The sequence below is a fragment of the Homo sapiens genome, chromosome 2, assembly GCF_000001405.40.
Source record: "Homo sapiens chromosome 2, GRCh38.p14 Primary Assembly".
Classification (NCBI taxonomy): Eukaryota; Metazoa; Chordata; class Mammalia; order Primates; family Hominidae; genus Homo; species Homo sapiens.
The window spans coordinates 162,409,080-162,430,481 of record NC_000002.12 but is presented as its reverse complement, the minus strand read 5'-3'; the positions used below and the strand labels follow the sequence as shown (position 1 = coordinate 162,430,481).

At 33.6% G+C, this 21,402-nt stretch overlaps 1 protein-coding gene across 6 annotated transcripts in view, besides 1 other annotated feature; it reads left to right on the top strand.

Moving 5' to 3' along the window:
* Window positions 1-21,402, top strand: part of KCNH7 (potassium voltage-gated channel subfamily H member 7) — a 467,361-nt gene that overhangs the window by 408,286 nt on the left and 37,673 nt on the right. For 5 of the 6 annotated variants that reach the window (XM_017005220.3, XM_017005219.3, NM_033272.4 and 2 more), the window contains one exon: window positions 6,947-7,146. In XM_017005220.3, coding sequence (XP_016860709.1) covers window positions 6,947-7,146 — 200 coding nt within the window. Of the gene's footprint in view, window positions 1-6,946; window positions 7,236-21,402 lie in introns of those variants that run through there. The other variant, NM_173162.3, reaches the window with a different exon arrangement.
* Window positions 7,828-7,997: an enhancer, noted in NCBI's record as "experimental_55244 CRE fragment used in MPRA reporter constructs". NCBI's record gives its function as "activates a minimal promoter by MPRAs in K562 erythroleukemia cells, with activity observed for both the introgressed and non-introgressed 2:163279080 variant alleles {active_cell/tissue: K562}" and the evidence as "EXISTENCE:reporter gene assay evidence [ECO:0000049][PMID:34662402]".

Here is a 21,402-nt window from a genome sequence, read left to right as displayed (position 1 = left end):
GTTAAGAAAACAAGATCAGAGGTCATGGAGACTAAGGTGCTGCAATTTGCAAGACAGGCAACAGGAGATGTAGTTATGGAAAAGAAAAGCTCCAGAAACCTACATAGGTATCCTTTTGAATCTACTTATGAATACTAAGTCACAAATGCATGGGGTAAAACTCCCAAAAACCCAGCAAAGAAATTCCAGAAGTACTATAAGCTAAACAATTTCCAGAGCTCACATAGATGTGGGAGATTTTCAAATTTTAACCAGCAGAAAGGAAAACCCTTATTAACATCCAGGGTATTTGGTAGAAATCTCAGAAAAAAATAGTGCTGTCGTACTAGGGCTAATCTGTCCCTCAAAAAAGCTTAAACAGCAAGCTTCAAAAGGAACAAGCAGATCCTCAAGTGGTTTAACTCCTGCAAGAACATCTAACTTTTTTTAAGACAAAAAAAAAGTTACAAGCATTGAAGAAGGTTAAATGTATAGTGCCCAATATCTATTTAAAATTTAAGAGCTATTATAAGAAACAGAAAAATGTGATTCTTAACAGGAAAAAAAAATCAAGTAAAATGGGACCAGAATTTACAAAGATGATGAAGGCAAGCAAAAAAAAAAATCTGTTTTTTTAATGATAGAAATTTTTAACTTTAAAAATAATGGCAGAAATTTTTCCAAAATTAATGAAAACTATAAAACCACATATCCAAGAAGTCCAGTGAATCCCAAACAAGTTAAGTATGAATAAAATACACTGGTGCACATCATAATCAAATATTAAATGCTGCTATAGAAAAATGACACATCATATACAAAGGAAAAAGATAATGTTGATAGATTTCTTATTAGAACAATGAAAGCCAAAAGACAATGGAACAAAATCGTTATATTGCTGAAAGAAAAACAAAATCTCTCAACATAGGAATCTGTGTTTAATTAAACTACTCTTCAAAAATGACAAAACCTGACATAATTCTTCATGAGCAGTCTACAAGAAATGATAAAGTTCTTCAGGTTAAAGAAAATTATACCAGATGAAAATTTGGATCAACACAAAGGAACGAAAAACTAGAAGTGGTAAATGTGTGAGTAAAAAAAAAAAAAAAAAAAAAAGACTTTTTCCTCATTTCTAAATGTCTTAAAAAATAATTGACTCCTTAAAGCAAAAAATAATGTCAATGAATGTGCAGGTTTTATAACATATGTAGAAGGAGAAATTATGACAATGATAGTACCAAAAAGTGGGAAGAAGAAATAGAAGTATATATTGCTGTAAGATTCCTACATCATTCTTGAGATGGTATTATGCTATTTAAAGCAGATGTTGACCAATTTAAAATGCATGTTATAAATCCTACAACTATAGCTAACAAGCCAACAGGAAAGACAAAATGAAATAATAACAAAATAACAAATGTAAAATATTGTAGGAAATAAGTGAAAAGGGAAATGCAGAAAACAAATAGCAAGATAGTATATTTAAACCCAAATATATCAATAATTGCATTAAATATAAATGATCTAAATGCTTTCATTGAAATGGAGAAATTATCAGAAAGCATTTTTAAAAATAAGACAGCCATATGCTGTCTAAAGAAAACATACTTATAAAGAGTAAAAAAAATTAAAAAGAATGTTCATACAAATCCTAATCATAAGAAAATCTGAAGAACAGTATTAACTTCAGACAATGTAGCGTTATTAACTTCAGGACAGGTACTATTACCAAAGATAAAATAGACAAATATAGCAATCCTAAATGTGTATGCACTCAATTACAGAACTTTAAATTACATGAAGGAAAAACTGATGTAACTGAAAGGAGAAATTGACAAATTCACAAGACAAATTCATAATTATAGTTTGCAATGTTAACACTCCTCTCTCAGCGTTTTATAGAATAAATAGACCAAATGAATAAAAATATAGAAAACTTAAATAATACTAACAGCTAAACTTGACATATTGACAATTATAAAATACTAGCAGAATACACGCTCTTTTCTAGCATGTATGGAACATTTACCAGTAGACAAGCCATATGCTGGGCTACAAAACAAGTCTCAATAAATTTGAAAATGCTAAAATCATACAAAGTATTTATCTGACCATAGAGAAACCAGAAATCAACAATAAAAGAAAGAAGGGGAGAAGGAGGAAGAGGGCAAGGAGTAGGAGAAAAAACTGATAGATGTTTAGAAAGTCCCCAAATGTTTAGAAATAGGTTCCAAATAGCTCACAGTTCAAAGAAGAAATCACATGGAAAATTACAAACTATTTTTAACTTAATAAAAATGAAAATAAAATGTATCAAAATTTGTATAGGGCACCTAAGGCATTTTTTAGTGATAAATCTATAGCTTTAAGTGTTTTTATTTAAAAAGGAGATCTAAAATCAAAAATCTAAGCTTGTATTTTAAGAAGCTAGTAAAAGGCAAGCAAATTAAAACCTAATACAACTGGAAGAAAAGAAATAATAGATATAAGAGCAGAAGTCAATAAAAATAGAAAACAAACAAGAGAGAAAGTTAATGGAAGTAATTTTTAAAATCAGTCAAACTGATAAGCCTCCAACTAGACTAAAAGAGAGAACATAAGTTACTGTCCTGTATGAAAGAAAGATAATAACACAAGTCTTATGGACATTAAAAGGATAAGAAAAGAACATTATAAAGAACAATAAACTTGACAATTTAGATCAAATGAAAAAATTATTTGAATTATACACATTACCAAAACTGAAACAAACAAAATTAACTCTGAATCATAAAAGAAAAATTGATAAATTGGATTTCATCAAAATTAATAACTTCTGCTCTTCAAAACACACCATTAAGAAAAGGAATGGACAAATGGTAGACTGGAAGAAAATATTTTCAATACCGAGATCATAAAAGGGCTTATATCCAGAATATATCAATAATTCTTACAAATCCATAATAAGAAGACAACTCAATTTAAAAATGGGTGAAGTATTTGAAAAGACAGTTCACAAAATATATATGAATGATGAATAAAGTCATGAAAAGATGTCATTAATCATCAGGAAAATGCACATTAAAACTCTAATGAGATATTACATGTACACACTACAATGGTTAAAATTAAAGACTGATGAAACCAAGTGTTGGAGAGGATATGGAACAAATAGTATTTTCATACATTGCTGGGGAGAATGTAAAATGATACAACTTTGAAAAACAGTTTGGCAGTTTCTTATAAAGTTAAATGTACCACACAACTCAGCAATTCCACTCTTAGGTGTTTAAAAGGGAAATGAAAATATAAGCCCACACAAAGACTTGTATACAAGTGTTCATGGCAGTTTTATTCATAATAGCCAAAAACTAGAAACAGCAAGGTTTCCATCAACAGGAGAAGAGATAAACAAACTGTGGTATAGCCATATGATGCACATCAATTCAGCAGTTAAAAAAAAAACAAATTACTGATACACACAACAGAATGATTCTCAAAAACATTATGTTGAGCAAAAGAAGTCAGTCACAAATGTACATAATGAATATGTACATTATAATTCCACTTATATAAAATCCTAGAAAATGCAAACTAATCTGTAATGACATAAAGGAGCTCGGTGGTTGTCTAAGGTCTGAAGTGAGTGGTTACAAGCAGCCAAAGAACACAAGGAGACTTTTAGAGTGAAGAAAATGTTCTATATCATGATCATGTTTACAGAGGTGTATACATTTGTCAAAACTAATTGAACTATACACTTAAAATAGATGCATCTTACATATAAATTACACATCAATAAAATTTATTTTATTAAGTTACAGAGTTGTTTAAATTTATGTAGTAGAAATGCAGGTGTATTTGTCAACATGTTTCAGCTAATATCTTCTGACCAACCAAATATATTAGTATGGTCAGCATATCAGAATTAAGGCGTGGTGTGCTGAAGGAATTTTTAAGAGAACCCTGTTTGATTTCTATAATACCTAAACTAAAGCAAACCATTTGGATGAAAAAAGAACTCCCTATTTTATAAAACTAAAAATACTGAGTTAAGGAGAGATGCCTAGATATCCATAGTCTGTCAACTTGCTTTTGATTGATATTTTTGCCAGTTGGGCATCAACTAAATAATATGTACAGAACATAAGTATTTTATTCTTCTCTCTAGCTTACAACCTCTAGCTCCATTTCCTTCCTAAAAAATAGGAAAAAGATTAATGTCTTTATGATAATTTAAAAGTCATAATCACAGAATTTCCTAAAAATAAGTATTTCAGGTCACTTTTTTTTTTTTTTTTTTTTTAAAGATAGGGTCTCACTCTGTCACCCAGGCTGGAGTGCAGTGGCGTGAACTTGGCTCACTGCAACCTGAGCCTCCCTGGATCAAGCAATTCTCGTGCCTCAGCTTCCGGAATAGCTGGTGCTACAGGCGCACACCACCATACCTGGCTAATGTTTGTATTTGTTGTAGAGATGGGGTTTTGCCATCTTGCCCAGACTGGTCTCGAACCGCTGAGCTCAGGTGATCCACCTGCCTCAGCCTCCCAAAGTGCTGGGATTACAGGCATGAGCCACCGCGCCTGACCATAAATTAGTCTCTTATCTATTCAACTATGTACTTATAATCCAGATTTTGTTTCATCTTGACAGCAAGTGGGAAATGCTTGTTTATGACCTAAACTAACATTTTGGTTAATTTTGATGGTAGAGATAAAACTCTACCATCCAAATAACATCTAATTTGCTAAAATCTATTTAATAAATAAGAATTTTTCCTGATCTTTCTTGATCATGTGATGGTTTAGGTAAAACATGTGTTTCCTGATCACGTGTGGTTTAGGTAAAACAAACAGCATTGATTTTGTGCCCTCTGACTGAATCTACTTCCTGAGCACATGATAGGTATTTTGGAAACATAGCATCACACGTAATTGTTTCCCCACTACATTTAGGATGAGTAAAACGTATTTTTCACATGAATCTCCTTGGATCACAGCAATCAATTTCTGGCAAATATTGTTAATTCTCTTTTTAAAGAATGATTCATTTACTCAAAAACAATTTAGGCTCACCTTTTCTTCATGTAGAAGATACAATCTAAACATCTGCTCTACCTTACAGAGAATTAATGTCTCATACATGCCAATTCAGCCTCACTAGAGATCTCCTGTATTAGTCTGGAAGTCCAGAGAAGCAGAACCAAAAGATAGGTAGATACTAGATAGACATATATGTTTGAATATAGATAAAGATATAAAGAGATTTATTCGAAGAAATTGGCTCGCACAGTTATAGAGGCTGAAAAGTCTCAAGATCTGTACTCAGTAACTGGGTCTAGACCACGGAGAGCCCATGATGTGTTTTCAGTCTGAGTCGGAGCGCAAGTCCAAAGGCTGGAGTAGACTGATATTCCTGCTCAGACAGTCAAGCACAGAGTTCATTCTCCTTTACTTCCCCTTTTTCTTCTATTCAGGCCTTCAATGAGTTGGATGCAGCCCACCCACAGTGGGGAGGACAATCTGCTTTACTTGTTTACTGAACCAAATGCTAATCTCCTCTGCAAACCCCTTACAGACACACCCAGAATATTTGTGTAACCAAATATCCAGGCACACTGTGGCCCAGTCAAGTTGATATAAAATTAACCACCACATCTCCCCAACTTTCATCCCCTTAAATAGATAAAAACAAGGGGTCACTGCTTTCCCTGGGACTTTCTCTTACTTGGGATATCTATGGTACATAAGGATCTTGATAACCAATCATGACAAGATAAGCAAACAAGGTAAGATGGAAAAGCAAGCAAGTGCCCAGGAAAGCATATTAGTTTAAAACATGGCCAGAATCTGGCCAAAGCTTACTTTGAAAATGATTAAGTGGATTATAGAAGCAATTGTTTATAAAATTTGTTTGAGGGAAAAAAATGTGTTGTTTGAATTTACTTTAATTAAACACTTCAAATTCTTGTTGCTGCTTTCCCCACCCTGGTATATAGCTATTCCAGTGATTTAAACATATGTTACCATATCTCTCAGTTTCTGATAGATGCCCAAAGATCAATATTCAGAATATATATCGTGATGTGACTTTCTGTACAGAGAATAGCATTTATTTTTAGAATTATTAGAAATAAATACAAATATAAACAAGAGAGAAAGTGCTTAAAGAGCTTATTTTAAATCATGAAGATTTAGTGTAAGAAGCACCAATACAGATATTCTACCTAAATGCTGATTATGTTGCAAGGGATCTCATAGCGGTTTCTTCCCATAGATGAAAGAACAAAAATGTGTTCTATTTTTTCCCTACAAAAATAAAGCTATGTGAATTTTCTAAGCCAGAGATATGTTTCTTATGCAAAAATACTATGAAAATGAATTGGAATAGGATAAAAACTGTATACAAATTAACACTCTAAGGAAACTGGTTTCTTAAAAGAATTTGCTATCCCTTAACAAACCTAATGTATTCAAAATAATCTCAAATTTAATAATAGATTTTTATTCTACAAGGTTAGATTTGAGGCTGAAAGGCAGAAATAAGTCACAATTTAAAACTAATGTGTTAACTCCAATTCAAAAAGGGTTTTTAAATCCCTAAAAGATGCTTTTGCCTCATATTTTTTTCAAGAAAATGTATTTATGGTGAGCCATGAGATGCCTTCTTTTTCAAGTGAAAGGGTTTATTTCAAATGCATTTTCTCCCTAGTCAGTGCTCCCAGCCACAAGCTGATGTAATAAACAATCTGAGTTTTCACTTTCATTTAGAATCCATGATGAATTTGGATACTTTCCCTCTCCAGCTTTATCACTAAAATTATGAAATGTAAAGCAGTTTTAGTTTAACTTCTTTTTTTCCCCGTGATCCAATGGTAAATCCCCACTAGATTGAGATAATCAAAATCCACATGCTTGATACTCTAACAATATATAACACACCTATGTGCAGTTTCCCCGATAACTTTGTTTTTTATCCAATCCAGCACTAATGTATGCAAGCATTTTTGGGAATGTATCTGCAATTATCCAAAGACTATACTCGGGAACTGCCAGGTACCACATGCAGATGCTGCGAGTAAAAGAGTTCATTCGCTTTCACCAAATCCCCAACCCTCTGAGGCAACGTCTTGAAGAATATTTCCAGCACGCATGGACTTACACCAATGGCATTGACATGAACATGGTATGTATGTCTGTTTTCCAAAATGAAAGTGCCGCAGGCATTATAGTGATAGCCAAAATGGAATAAAAGCCGGAATCACCAGCTTTGAACCCCTTGCTTTTGTTTTCTTCTCTCGGATGTGTATTTTCTCCCCTGGAGATAGTCTCTCATTCTCAATTCATGGCATTGCATGGTGCTATATCTAGTTATACTGTGTGGCAAAGGCATTATAACATGATGCAAACTGATATAACTGTGTGTAGTAGAGTTCCCACTTCTGGTGAGAGAGAGCATTGCTTTAGCTGGGACTTGGGTTTTTACTGCATGGCCTCATTGCCAACACCCCCAAAAAATAGTTGAATCCAGTTGCAATAACATTTGGCAAGTAAACAGTAATAATTATGATGCCCCCAAACAGAGATCCCAGGTTAACACACTTTAAAAGACAGGAAATTGAAAACTTATAGGAGAGGTCAGGAAGCTTAAGTATACATAAGCACTTTATGATAGGAAGTTTCACACTTTTAAGAATTTTTTTTCTATATTTTAAACAATCTACGCTGTGCCCTTTTACTGTACCTGGTTTAATGCGTCTTTCCTTTCAAGGGGAAATATGGATCCCTTCATATTTTTCCTTCAACTTTTAAGCAAATTCAGCATCAGCAATCACCTGTCATAACCTCCCTTCCTGTATCACTGCTCAAAAATCAACACTATTAATAATATTAATGTTGTCCAAAGACCTCTTTTTATTATTAGGAGAATTGCCCACATTCTTTTACCTTGCAATTTGGCTCTAAAGGCTGATTGCTAAATAAATTATACAACAAATCCAAATTCTATGACATATCGTAGAGCATCAGAAAAAAAAGAATAAAAATATGGTGGCTTCCCATATGGCTACTCCTCCACTGGGCAAGGACCCTGTTTCTAAGAATTTCTAAGAAAATAAAAGCACTCATATTTAATTATGTCAATTGCATGAAACAATTTTTGTGTAAGTGAGCCTGTACAATTTAAATTGGTACTTTCTGCTTGACCACTAATATTCTAATGGAGAAAGAAGGGTTCAAAATTAGCAGGAATGGTGCAGAAAGCACTGCAAATATTGCCCAATTTGAAAGTAATATTTATATATGGATAAGTTTATCATAGCTGTGTGTGATGTATTTGATTGAGAAGGACATGCCATGACAAAAATGTTAATTTGAAGAGCTAATCAAATGAACACTTTTCACACAAAACTCCATGAGTCATTTCTAATCATTCCAAAGTTCCTTGTGAAAAATTCTTTTGTAAATTAATCCCCCAAAAGAACACTTTAATCTCACAAGAAAGAGATCACTTTTCTATATTTCCATCACTATTATTGTTTAACAAAGGTATCAGCATTCAAAATCTTTTGGGGACTCTCTGCTGCTGGGTTGGCTGAAGCAGTGTCAAGAATTCTTAATCAAAACATGTCACTCATTTTTTGTTGTTCCATACTGCCAGATTATTTCAAAAACAGTAGCAAAACAATTATTTTACCCCCCTCCATGTAACTCTAGTTTTGTGACCATTTTTTGTGATAAAGTCTATTTTGTGACAACTATTTACCTTTCATTGTTTGACTCTATTACCTATGAATATGGTTTATATACCACTTGCCTATTTACAATGTACTTATGAAAGATTTATCTCTTTCCTGTCTGCTTCACACCTTAATAAATGGAATCACAACACCCACCGGTAAGAACAGGAGGTATTTATATCCAATTTAATTATCGTGTAAATTGTGGAGAACACCCTTGTTATCTGTCAGGTTTAGAGCTTGTTAAATGATTTCCAGTGTTAGTTCTGAACTTTTTTGCATGATGTAGCTGAGGAAATACAAAGCAAGAAACTGGGGAAGATAACCTGGAAGAGGCCAAGTACAGAATAGAAATCCTTAACTTTAACAATGACTTGACCTCTAACAATATTTATATACAATTTCCCAGTCCCCATAAAAATTCACTTCTCTGCCCCTATCCCGACTCTGGTAAAGGCTATGGGTATACGGTTTGCATTAGACAATTGTCATAAATAAAATGTCATTCTCTTTCATTATCTTCTATTTTCATGATGTAGGTGCTTTTCTTTCCTCTCATCTGCATGCCTGTATTACATCGTCCTGGAGTGTGTGAGCTCTAAACCATGTGCCGCTGAGTCTTGCATGTGGTTTTGAGAGCTTGACTTTGCACGGACTTCTTGTTTGTGTACAGTGTCTACATTTCTCATTTTGTGACTGCAAAGTGAGTAAGCAAACTGCAAGATAACTCTGAACACTCAGCAAATGGAAGATGCTTACTTGTTAAGCACTACTTATGAAACAAAGTTGATTAGAGAAAAAGCAACTGTAGCCTTAGACTATTGAGAGTTTAAAAAAAAAATCAAAATGGATTTTTTTTACCTCCAAAACCACACTTGAAATCCCTGTGTATTGTCAACTAAATTGTAATTTAATCGCAGTTTAAAATCATTCAAATTTATGTATCGTCACACATAAAAGCATATTAAACTTGTATTTCGCATCAGCATTCCATGATATTTTACGTATAACCTTAAATATAATTTCTCACGAAACATTTCAGGTCATTTTCACTGTTCAACCATGTCCAAATGAAGTACGAGATATTCAATCACACTGTATTAATTGACCTAAAATTATTTTTACGAACAAAACCATTCGATTGTTTGATAGACCACAAAAAATAAGAAATAATTGACCTAAAAAGAGTGGCCATATCCTTTAATCCCTGCATCTTTTGCTTTTTGTGTAAAAGCTATTGCCAGAATGTTTCAAAACTTAAAGCACTGTGGGAACAAGTATGGACTCCCTTTTAATTGAGCCAAATGGTTCAGAGTACAAAAGGAAATGGGCCAGAATAATGAAGCCAGTGAAAGAATCATGGTGTTTTGTTTTGTTTTGTATTGTTTTTGTTTTTGTTTTTGTTTTTGAGATGGAGTCTTGCTCTATTTCCCAGCCTAGAGTGCAGCAGTGCCATCTAGGCTCACTGCAACCTCCACCTCCTGGGTTCAAGCAATTCTCCTGCCTCAGCCTCCTGAGTAGCTGGGATTAGAGGCACATGCCACCACGCCTGGCTAATTTTTGTATTTTTAGTAGAGATAGGCTTTCACCATGTTGGCCAGGATGGTCTTGGCCTCCTGATCTCAAGTGATCTGCCGCCTTGGCCTCCCAAAGTGCTGGGATTACAGGTGAGAGCCACCATGCCTGGCCTAGATTGTGTTTTTTTGAGTATGATCTCATATTAGGAATAGCAAAAAGTATTTGAAAGATGTGCAGAAGTTAATTCTGGAAAACTGTCTTCCCTCTACCTCCAACATTTTTAGTTAGGAGTGAAGAGATATTTTTTTTCAGAGTAGAACTGATAGCATCTCAATGAATTTCTCCAAATCAAAGCTGTCTTCTGATCTACTCTGAAACTTTCTGAGGTTACCTAACACTGTTTTAGTTACAACACTACCACAGTAATGAAAATCATCTTTCATATCAGCATAGAATCAAGTGGCCTCACATCACACACAGGAGCCTGGCTTGAATGAAGAAGGACTCCAATGACCATGGTCCATATATCTTTCTGGATGAAGAGAAATAAACTATTTAGGGCAGAGGCTACTCCTAAATTTCATATTATAATTGCATGGAAAAAATGCCTGTATGAGCATTTAATGGAGAATTTACTCCTTACCTGAAAATAGCACCTCCTCCCCCACCAAATAATGCCCAAATAATATAAAAAATGCAGAATAGGGATTCAGAAGACCTAAAAACTAACTCTCAGTCTGCCACTACTCTTGGACAAGTCACTTAACCTCTCTGCAATTTCATTAAATTTGTTGTTTTCCAATATTTTTTAAAGCACTGGAACTCAAATATGCTAAATGTGCAGAAACGTTATTATGGGAGCTTTTCTGCTTGAGGATGGCAATTCTAACCTATTTGCTGCCTATCCCCCAACTCAGGTAATCCAGAAACAGTTTTCATTTATTTTAGTAAGAAAAGGGAATAGTTGCTTTTTTTTTTTTTTTTTTTTTTTAGCCTGGGACATTAATGGAGGAAATTTTGAGAGACAGACATAGAAAGTAGTTGGAATAAGAGCCTAGGAAGAGGTATAAACTCTCAGCTGGGTGGATAGGGGATAGGTAAGTTTTTCTTAAAGACAGGCAGGAAAGAAAAGAGAAGGGGTGAAGGTATTAGCTTGCAGGTTTAAAAGGGAACTTGATAGCACTTCCATTGCATCGTTCAGTTTCCTAGGTCAAGCAGAGACTAGATGAATCCTGATAAAGGAGGAAGTGCAAGATAGAAGTGTAGCTCAAGACAGGGAGAGCTTTTGGAGCTTTTAATCGAGTTAGCTTAATAAGCTAAAAAAATCTTAGGATCATAGTGAGATGCTGAGTGACACAGCATAGACCTGTAATGGACCCTATGAACAAAGCCAGTCAAAAGTGGAACAGAGAATAATAAAGAATGATATGCTGTTTAATATAAATTTATATTGCTTGGGGCTGATGTGACTTCCAAGGAACATTTTAATGAAAACTTGACTTTCTTTACCTTCACAACTCTTTTAGTTTCTCTATGATCTGTCAGAGCAGTCTCCACTATTAACACAGAGCTTATCTCTGCACCTACAGTCTAATCCTACTCCATCAGAAACTTTGTTACACTCATTCTCTAAACTTATTTAAAAGACTTCATCTGGGCCAGACCTTTATATTTAGATTGTGGAGTGTTTTGATACACCATAGCGAAGTATAATGGTGAACTCTTTCAGTTATGTTCAATTCAGCAACTCCGATGAAAACAATTCTTGTGACAATATACCCCATCAAAAATGTAAAAGCAAAATTTGCAAAGTAGCGTGGCTTGCCTTCACTGTATAGCTTTCATCTCCCTTACTTTTTTCTAATGATTTTTTATCTACTGAAGTTGATAAATACAGTCCATGACCTAGACTGATATGTATATCATACAGCTATAATAAAATTTCAGAAATATGATGCCCTCATATCCAGATAATCCTCCATGCATTTAAAAGGGGGTATAAAGATTGGCCAAAACCTACATTTAAATGATAATGACCCACAGGACTGGCAACACCTTTTGGTTTTCTATAAATACATAGTTACCATTTAGGAGTTGAATTAAAATAATAGTTTTGCACAATGCACTTGAAAAGATGTTGTCATCTGCATGTAGATTAGTTGATAGGAATTGCCTGGCTCTGCAGAAACTGGGAATGTACTAAAATTTCACACTGGCAAGAAGTCTACTACTATGAACACACAAATTTATCACTCATGATCACCTACTGTAGCCAGCCCCTGAACAGCAGGTGCTTTTAAAAGGCAAAGTTCACTTGCCTTTCCTATTTTACACCAAGGCTACTTACCCTACAGTTCTTCAAAATATTACAAAGAACAAGAAAACACCATCTGGAGCCCGCTGACATGAACAATGTCAAGCTTAAGACAGGCATCTAATGTTTTCAGGTCACAAATGGTACATGTTCATCTTGCACAAGTGATGATGGTCACTTCATCCTGGTCTCCAACCATCATCAAGGAGGACTTATTTACAGTTGGAATGATGCTGCTTCTATGCAAAGTGAGTTCTTCAGTGGTAGGATCTGACCTTTAGCCCATCTTAAGTCAAGAAAAATAATGACAGTATGCCCTAGAGCTTTCCATATTACAAAAAGTCTACAGAAACATTACACTGAGGTGGTGAACCTACTTTGATGCTTCAGTTTCTCCATTTATTAATAATGTTACTCTTACAGTAGTTAGAAAGTGGAAATGATGTCTCAAATTGTTTTTTGAAATTCTTAAAATAATGTTCCTATTTGAATAGAACTGTAGAGTGGAATTTCTTATGCTGAAGGGTATGATGTGTTTCAAAAAACTTTGGACTGGTAGGAGCATAGGAATAATTCAACTCAATTCAGTTTCAGATCACTTGATAATCAACACAGGTGAAGCCATTAATAAAAAATAGAGATCATCAAAGTTCAGTTATAACAGATTCTTTGGAAATATGATTTTAAGTCTCTTTTCATTCAAATGCTAGAATAACTCAGCATTTCTTAAACCTAATGGAATCAAAGCATCCACAATATTTTTTTCCAAAATAAAAGTCCTATATTTTCTTTAGTAGAAGTCATATCCAGTGGACTGGGATTGATGTTATAAATGGATATGAAAATGGTCCACCCAATATGTCATATTTCATAATCATTGTTTTTTTAAAAGTGAAAACATTCAGATGTAGTTCATCTTAGCCCAAATTATCATATAGCCTTAAAGCAGCAATAGCTCAAGAAATTTAGATATATTTTAATTGTTTTTCTCAGTTTAGACATATTGCAATCCATGTGGATGAGTGTGGATGGAAAAAATACATAATCATTACGTTTCATGCCAGATATACCTAAAAAGAAATCTCCTTTACTTTGCATCTTGGGGTCCTATTATCCAGGTGAGCCACCCCCAGCATAACTCTACGTTCACCTTAGGGACCATCTCATAAGAGCTTTCTTTATTGGGTTGGGTAGGGGGCATCACCTCTGATGATGCATTTTTAACACTCCAGAGCTATGCTGAATCATTTCCATATATGCTGTCATTCATTCTTCCCTCTCTTCTGTTAATCTTCTTAGATCAGTATGCTGTGCAACCCACACAAAGCTAAAACATGTCTGTGGTTAGGAAAACCTACCATAGTGGGAAAATAAGCCAAATACTCACTCTCCACAAAGGCGAAATTATTTTATTTGGATCATAGAGGTGCATCTCAAGCTATCATCTGATTCTGTGTGGTGAATTGCAAGGTGTGAGTGCTAGGAAAATGTGTTTTCCAAGATAGGGATTTAGCCCAGAGCCTAACTATGATTTTATCTGTTTTGTCTATGAGCTATTCTTTTTTTTTTTTTTTTTCTAGAGACGGAGTCTCACACTGTTGCTCAGGATGGAGTGCAGTGGCAAGATCTCAGCTCACTGCAACTTCCACCTCCTGGGTTCAAGCGATTCTCCTGTCTCAGCCTCCCCAGTAGCTGGTACTACAGGCGCCCACCATGATGCTGGGCTAATTTTTGTATTTTTAGTAGAGACGGAGTTTCACCATACGAACTCCTGACCTTGTGATCCGCCCTCCTTGGACTCCCAAAGTGGTGGGATTACAGGCGTGAGCCACTACGCCCAGCCTATGAGCTATTCTTAATATTTAATAGCAGGCAACACCACACTGAGGTCAGAGTATTATAATAAAGCAATTCCCTTTGACTAGATATCTAAAGAACAAAGGAGAGTATAATGCCAGGAAAACAGCTACATGGTGCAAAATTTTACAAGCCGGACTTCTAAAAGACAAACAAAAATATATAGGCTGGCCTAGAGAAATCATGGGTGGAGACATTCTTGGAGTAAAAGCAGAGTGGAAGCATGTAGACAGTGGTCAGAATGAAGAAAAGGACTAGGTTACATAACATTTATATCCCATGCTTTCTAAATATGAGAATAACATTAAATGGAAGTTTAAATCTGCACCTTGCTTTATTCCCTTTCCTTTCATTCTCACCCATCTTAGCATACAGAATTGAGATTTATAAATTTTTTTAAAAAAATTGTTATTAAACATTAATGATTGGTTGTCATAAGTTTATGGTTTTATATTGGCAATTCTTAAAGAGAAAAAATATCTTAACCAATCACTGAAGCAAAGTTAAAGGAAACATTAGGAAGACCTAACTTTTTTCAAATTAAAGTATAGAATCATTGTAAATTATCAAACAGTAAAATAATTTGTTTTACAGTGATTAAAAAGTACTTTATATCTTTTCACTTACAGACAACACCCTAATATAACATCACCTTGCAACCATACTTGTGGCATATCATATACATACATTTTTTTCTCTTACAGACTTATCATAGCCTGATAAGAATTTGTTTTTAAATTGGGAAGCATCTTCTGTGCTGGTGCATTTCATAGATATGTCAATCTAAAGAAAGAAACTGAAGCAAAATTTATATAGAGAGTTTATTTAGACCAAGGTTGAGGACTTGCAGCTGGGAAACACTGGGAAATGCTCCAGAGAACAAAGGAGAGGCTCAAAGGTTTTTTGGTTTTGTTTTGCTGTTTTTTTGTTTTTTGTTTTTTTTTTTAAAAAAAGGACAAATCAGGAGAGTGGGCAATTAGAAAAGTTGTTTGTCAGGAACTCTCATTGGTTTACAGAAATAGCATTGGTTAGTGATTAGCTATACATTGTTAAATATACGGCATGATTTATGGTATCCAGCATATGGCATTGTTAGGTCAATTTCTATCAATTGGTGGGACTCTAGAGTCTGGATAGCAGGTGGATTACTTAGCTTAAGGTAGGGAGTAAGACATGACTGCTCTCACATGTCATTACCTCTATAGGCCTCATAATTTAAAGGGACTTGCATTCCTTAGATAAAAAGTTATTTGCCTTCTCATATACACAAATTTTACTTAAATAAAATTGCAACATCTCTACTTTTTTATGAAAGGGATTTTTAAAATGCAACATTTTTAAGATTTTTTTATACTTCAATTTTTATACTTTACTCATCCCATTATCTATTACCTATGTGTGTAAACTTCCATAACTTTTAATATGCTAATATAATTATACTTATATTTGCATGTATACAGACATATATACATATTTACACACACATATAGTTGCATAATTTAATCTAAAAAACATTTAATTATGTGCAGTCCATGTTTCTCCCTTAATATCTCGTGAAAATATCTCCAACTTGGCTAATACAACTAATTCATTCCTTTTAATGGCATGTACATTCCATAGTAGTTTATTTTATATACTATAACTATATAATGCATAATATAATAATATATAACTACATATTATACTTATACTAATGGTTTCTTCTCTTGTATTAATGGCTTCATTGCTGGGCATTCATTTGACTTCTAATTTCATGCCACTTCAAACAATACTGCAATAAACCCACTTACATATTTTCCCTTACTTATACTTTTATATTTATGGGTAGATTCTCAGATAAGGGATTTTTGAGTTAAAGATTATATGTAATTTTAATTTTAATAGCTATTGTAAGATTACATTCCAAAAATGCTTAACAATTTACATTTCTATTAACAATGTTGGTACTTTTCCCCCTTCCCTTTACTAGCGCTGGGTGTTATGGTTCTTTTCAATTTTTGCCAGTTTAATGGATATATGAAAATTTGTTTTTACTCTAATGACATTTTCTGAGTACTGTTAAATGTAAGCACCTTTTTCATTCATTCATATATACATACACACATATTATTTGGCTTTTTTATTCTATGAATTGCCCATTCGTAGCATTTTTTGCATATTTTCCATTATTTTTTCCGTATTATTTTATTTTATAAGAACTTTGTAGATATTAATGCTTTTTATATTGTAATATGATCCTAATATATTTTCAATATGTTCGTTTGTTTAAGGACTATTTTGGATACAAAATAGTCCTTAACATTGCTGTTTTTTTTTAATATTATCTAATTGGTCAACTTTTATTTTATAGTTCACAGATCCTTTCCTGTTTTAAAAAGGCCCTACTAAACTTTTGGAATATATGAGTCATTTCCTAAATTTTTTTATACGATTTGGTATATGATTAGAAAGAAAACTCCACAATCTGTTTGAAATCTAGTTTTGTAAATGATTTCCTTCACATGAATAGAAAATAGTCGTGGTAGAATTTATTAAATAAGCCATTCTTTTTTCATTTAATTAAAATAACACCTGTGTTACACATTACATCATTGGGTATAATTGGGATACATATCTAGACTCTAAAGGCTGCTCTATTTGTCCACTCAGTGTAGTATAAGAATGGTTTGGCTGGGCACAGTGGCTCACCCCTGTAATTCCAGCACTTTGGGAGGCCAAAGCGGGTGGATCACCTGAGGTCAGGAGTTCGAGACTAGCCTGGCCAACGTGGTGAAACCCCATGTACTAAAAATACAAAAATTAGCTGGTCGTGGTGGCAGGCACCTGCAATCCCAGCTATCTGGGAGGCTGAGGCAGGAGAATGTCCTGAAGCCAGGAGGTGGAGGTTAAGGTGAGCCAAATCATGCCATTGCACTCCACCCTGGGGGACAAGAGCAGGACTCCATCTTAAAAAAAACAAAAAAAATGGTTTGTGTTTAGCAGTTTTATATAATATTTTAATATCTGGTAAGGTAGGTGGACACTTACTAATCTTATTTTGCTCATTTCTCCTGGCTATTTAAGAACCTTTATTCTTCCATAAAAAATATATGACTTTTTAAATTCAGTTACAACTTACTTCATGTTAGGCTTTTGAAATAAACCAAAGATCAGATTGTTAAATATGGCTCCCAAGAGTGAGAAATCATAGCCACTATCAAGATTTACTAATAATTTCAAGGATTTAGGAATTATGAGCATAGGCACGGAGATCTTCCTTGCCATGTTAGTATGAGTTCAGGAGGACTGTAAATGATATATGTGATTATACGACACTTAAACAGAATCTCTTTCGGTCATTAAACAGTTACATTTTATATTCTGGACATTACACAGCTTATATGACATTTTCCAGAAAGTCATGTTCTATTAATGAAAGATTGGCCTGTCATAGATGATTATCTAGATACATCCTGCTAAAAATACTCCATAAATGGGCACTATTCCACTAATAAGTGCCCTTACTGTGTTTGCCAGGAGCAGGTCACTAATGTTTGTCAGTAGCTGGCCATTTTTCTTCTCTGTTATTTCTTGGGAAATATAGAAAACAGATTGTAGGTCTATTCTAACTCTTATTTAAATATAACTTTGGTATTTAAATATTAAGTTGTCATCCATGCTTCACATTAAAATCATCTGAAATTTTTATAATAGTTAAATAAGAATTGCTTAAAGTCTGTGTCAGTATTTTTATAAATCTAATACGTAGACAAAGTTGAGAATCACTGGTTTATATCTTAAAAAACAAAATCCAGTTCAATAAGATTTTATCATTTTCTTCTTAAAAAGTTTTACCTTTATTGTGAAATATCTTTATTAATTTTATATAGCATAGTGAGTCAAATAAAATATATTAAGCATTTCCATTTTTACCTGCTTATAGATAATAAAGAATAAAACTATTTATCTTCTATCCAGCCAATTTAGCAAATTCTGATAGAATTTGTTTTTGTTTGGTTTAATTTGTTTTCTCTGTAACCAAGTTTTGGGTTAATTTATTTTTCTTTAACAAATTCTGAAGGACTTCTTTTTGGTTTGGTTCAATTTGACCTCATTCTGATAGTACTTTGTAGTTTGATTTAATTTGGTTTGTTCTGGTCTGTTTGAATGGTAGGTGGTCCTCTTGAGGATTTAATATTGGATGTTCTAAGCATACAATCATCAGCAGCAAGAAGAGATAAATTCATTTTCTATTTTTAATAGCAACTACTTATTGGGGTGTTTTTGATTCACTAGAATTTCCAAAATAATTTTGAAAAAAAAGTTGATTTCAATTTTAAAAATTTAATTAAAAATAATAAAATTATTATTTTAATAAATATCTTAATAGTTGATTTAATTAAAGAAGTGTTAAGACTAATACTACTATAATATCCTTGCACTCATGAAATGAATCCTACTTGATCGTAGATTTTTGTAATTATTTTTAAATTTTTTCTTTCTTCCACTTTTATTTTAGGTTTGGGGGTACCTATGCAGGTTTGTTACATAGGTAAATTGTGTGTCACTGAGGCTTGATGTACAAATGATCCCAAGGTAGTGAACATAGTGCCCAGTGGTACCCTTTCTTACCACTCTTCCTTTTCACCCTCCCTCCTCAAGCAGTCCTCAATGTCTATTGTTCCCATCTTTATGTCCATGTGTATTCAATGTCTAGCTGCCACTTATAAGTGAGAACATGTAGTATTTGGTTTCCTGTTCCTGCATTAGTTTGTTTAGAGTAATGGCTTCCAGCTGCATCCATGTTGCTGCAAAGGACATAATTTCATTCTTTTTTATGGTTGCATAGTATTCCATTGCATATATGTGCCACATTTTCTTTATCCAGTCCACCGTTGATAGGCATCTTATATTGGTTGGTTTCATGTCTTTGCTACTTTGAATAGTTCTGCAATAAACATACAAGTGCATGTGTCCTTTTGGTAGAATAATTTAATTTCCTTTGAGTATTTGCCCAACAGTGGGACTGCTGGGTTGAATGGAATAGTTCTCTTTTAAGTTCTTTGAGAAATCTCTACATTGCTTTCCATAGTGATTTAACTAATTTACATTTTCCACCCGCAGTGTACAAGTGTTCACTCTTCTCCACAACCTCACCAATATCTATTGTTTTCAGATTTTTTAATATTAGCCATTCTGACTGGTGTGAGATGGTATCTCATTGGAGTTGTGATTTGCATTTCTCTGATAATTATTGATGATAAACATTTTTTCATATGTTTCTTGGCCACTGGTATGCCTTTTTTTGAGAAGTATCTGTTCATGTCCTTTGCCCACTTTTTATTGGAGTTCTTTGATTTTTGCTTGTTGGTTTGCTTAAGTTCCTTATGGATTCTGGTTATTGGATCTTTATCAGATGCACAGTGTGCAAATATTTTCTCCCATTCTGTAGGTTTTCTGTTTACTCTGTTGGTAGTTTCTTTTGCTGTGCAGAATCTCTTTCATTTAATTAGGTTCCACTTCTCAATTGTGGTTTTGGTTGCAATTGCTTTTGGGGATTTAGTCATAAATTTTTGCCAAGGTTGAAGAGGTGTTGGTAATGATATGGCCTGGAATGTCATTTCATAGGCTTTCTTCTAGAGTTTTTATTGTTTTTAGGTCTTGTATTTAAGTCTTTAATCCATCTTGAGCTAATTTTTGTTGATGGAAAAACATAAGGGTCCAGTTTCAATCTTCTGCATATGGCTAGCCAGTTATCCAAACATCATTTATTGAATAAGGAATCTTTTCTTCATTGTTTGTTATTGTCAGCTTTGTTGAAAATCAGGTGGCTGTATGTGTGTGGCTTTATTTCTGGTTTCTCTATGCTATTCCATTAGTCTATGTTTGTTTTTGTACCAGTTCCACATTGTTTTGGTTACTGTAACCTTGTAGTATAGTTTGAAGTTGGGTAGTGTGATGGCTCCAGCTTTGTTCTTTTTGCCTCGAATTCCTTTGGCAATTCAGGAGTATTTCTGGTTTCATATGATTTTAGAATAATTTTTTCTAATTCTGTGAAAAGTGACTTTGGTACATTGACAGGAATGGCATTGAATCTGTACATTGCTTTGGGCCGTGTGGTCATTTTAACAATATTTATACTTCCTATCCATGAGCATGAAATGTTTTTCAATTTTTCTGTGTCGTCTCTCATTTCTTCCAGCAGTATTTTGTAATTCTTATTGTAGACAGCTTTCACCTCCTTGAAAGCTGTATTTCTAGATATTTTATTCTTTATGTGGCTATTGCAAATGAGATTGCATTCTTAATTTGTCTCTGAACTTGGGTGTTATCGGTGTATAGAAATGCTACTGATTTTTGTACATTGATTTTGTATCCTGAAAGTTTACCATATCTGTTTATTAAACCTAGAAGTATTCTGTTGGAGTGTATAGCATTTTCTAGATACAGAATCATATCGTCTGCAAAGACAGATAGTTTGACTTATTATTTGGATGCCTTTTATTTCTCTTTCTTATCTAATTCCTCTGGGTAGGACTTCTGGTTATAGATTTTTTGATACATTGTTGATATTATTGGTTAGTCAATTGTTTAGTATTTTGCATCTATTTTATAATTATATTCATTGGTGGTTATATGCTCTTCAAGTGTTAGAAAGAAATCAGTTGTAAAATCATCTGGTTGTTTCAATAGTGTATCTTTAATCACCTCTCCTACTCGGTAATTATTTGTTCTACTTCTTCTTTAGTCAATATAATAATTTCCATTTTATCAAGAATTCATGTGTGTTATTTAGGTTTCCACAGTTCCACAATTCCACATAAGCTTCTTTTATAAAATAATATTTTCTGTATCAGCCCATGCCTCTGCTTTTCTTATTCCTGAACTTGCATATTTTTTCTCTCTCTCTTCTTTCCTTCAGCAGATCTTTGAAAGATTTATATATTCTATTTGATTTTATTCACGGAATTAGCCCTTAGATGTATTTAAGCTAGCTTGCTACTGTTCTTTTCATTTTCAGCATTTGCCTCCATTA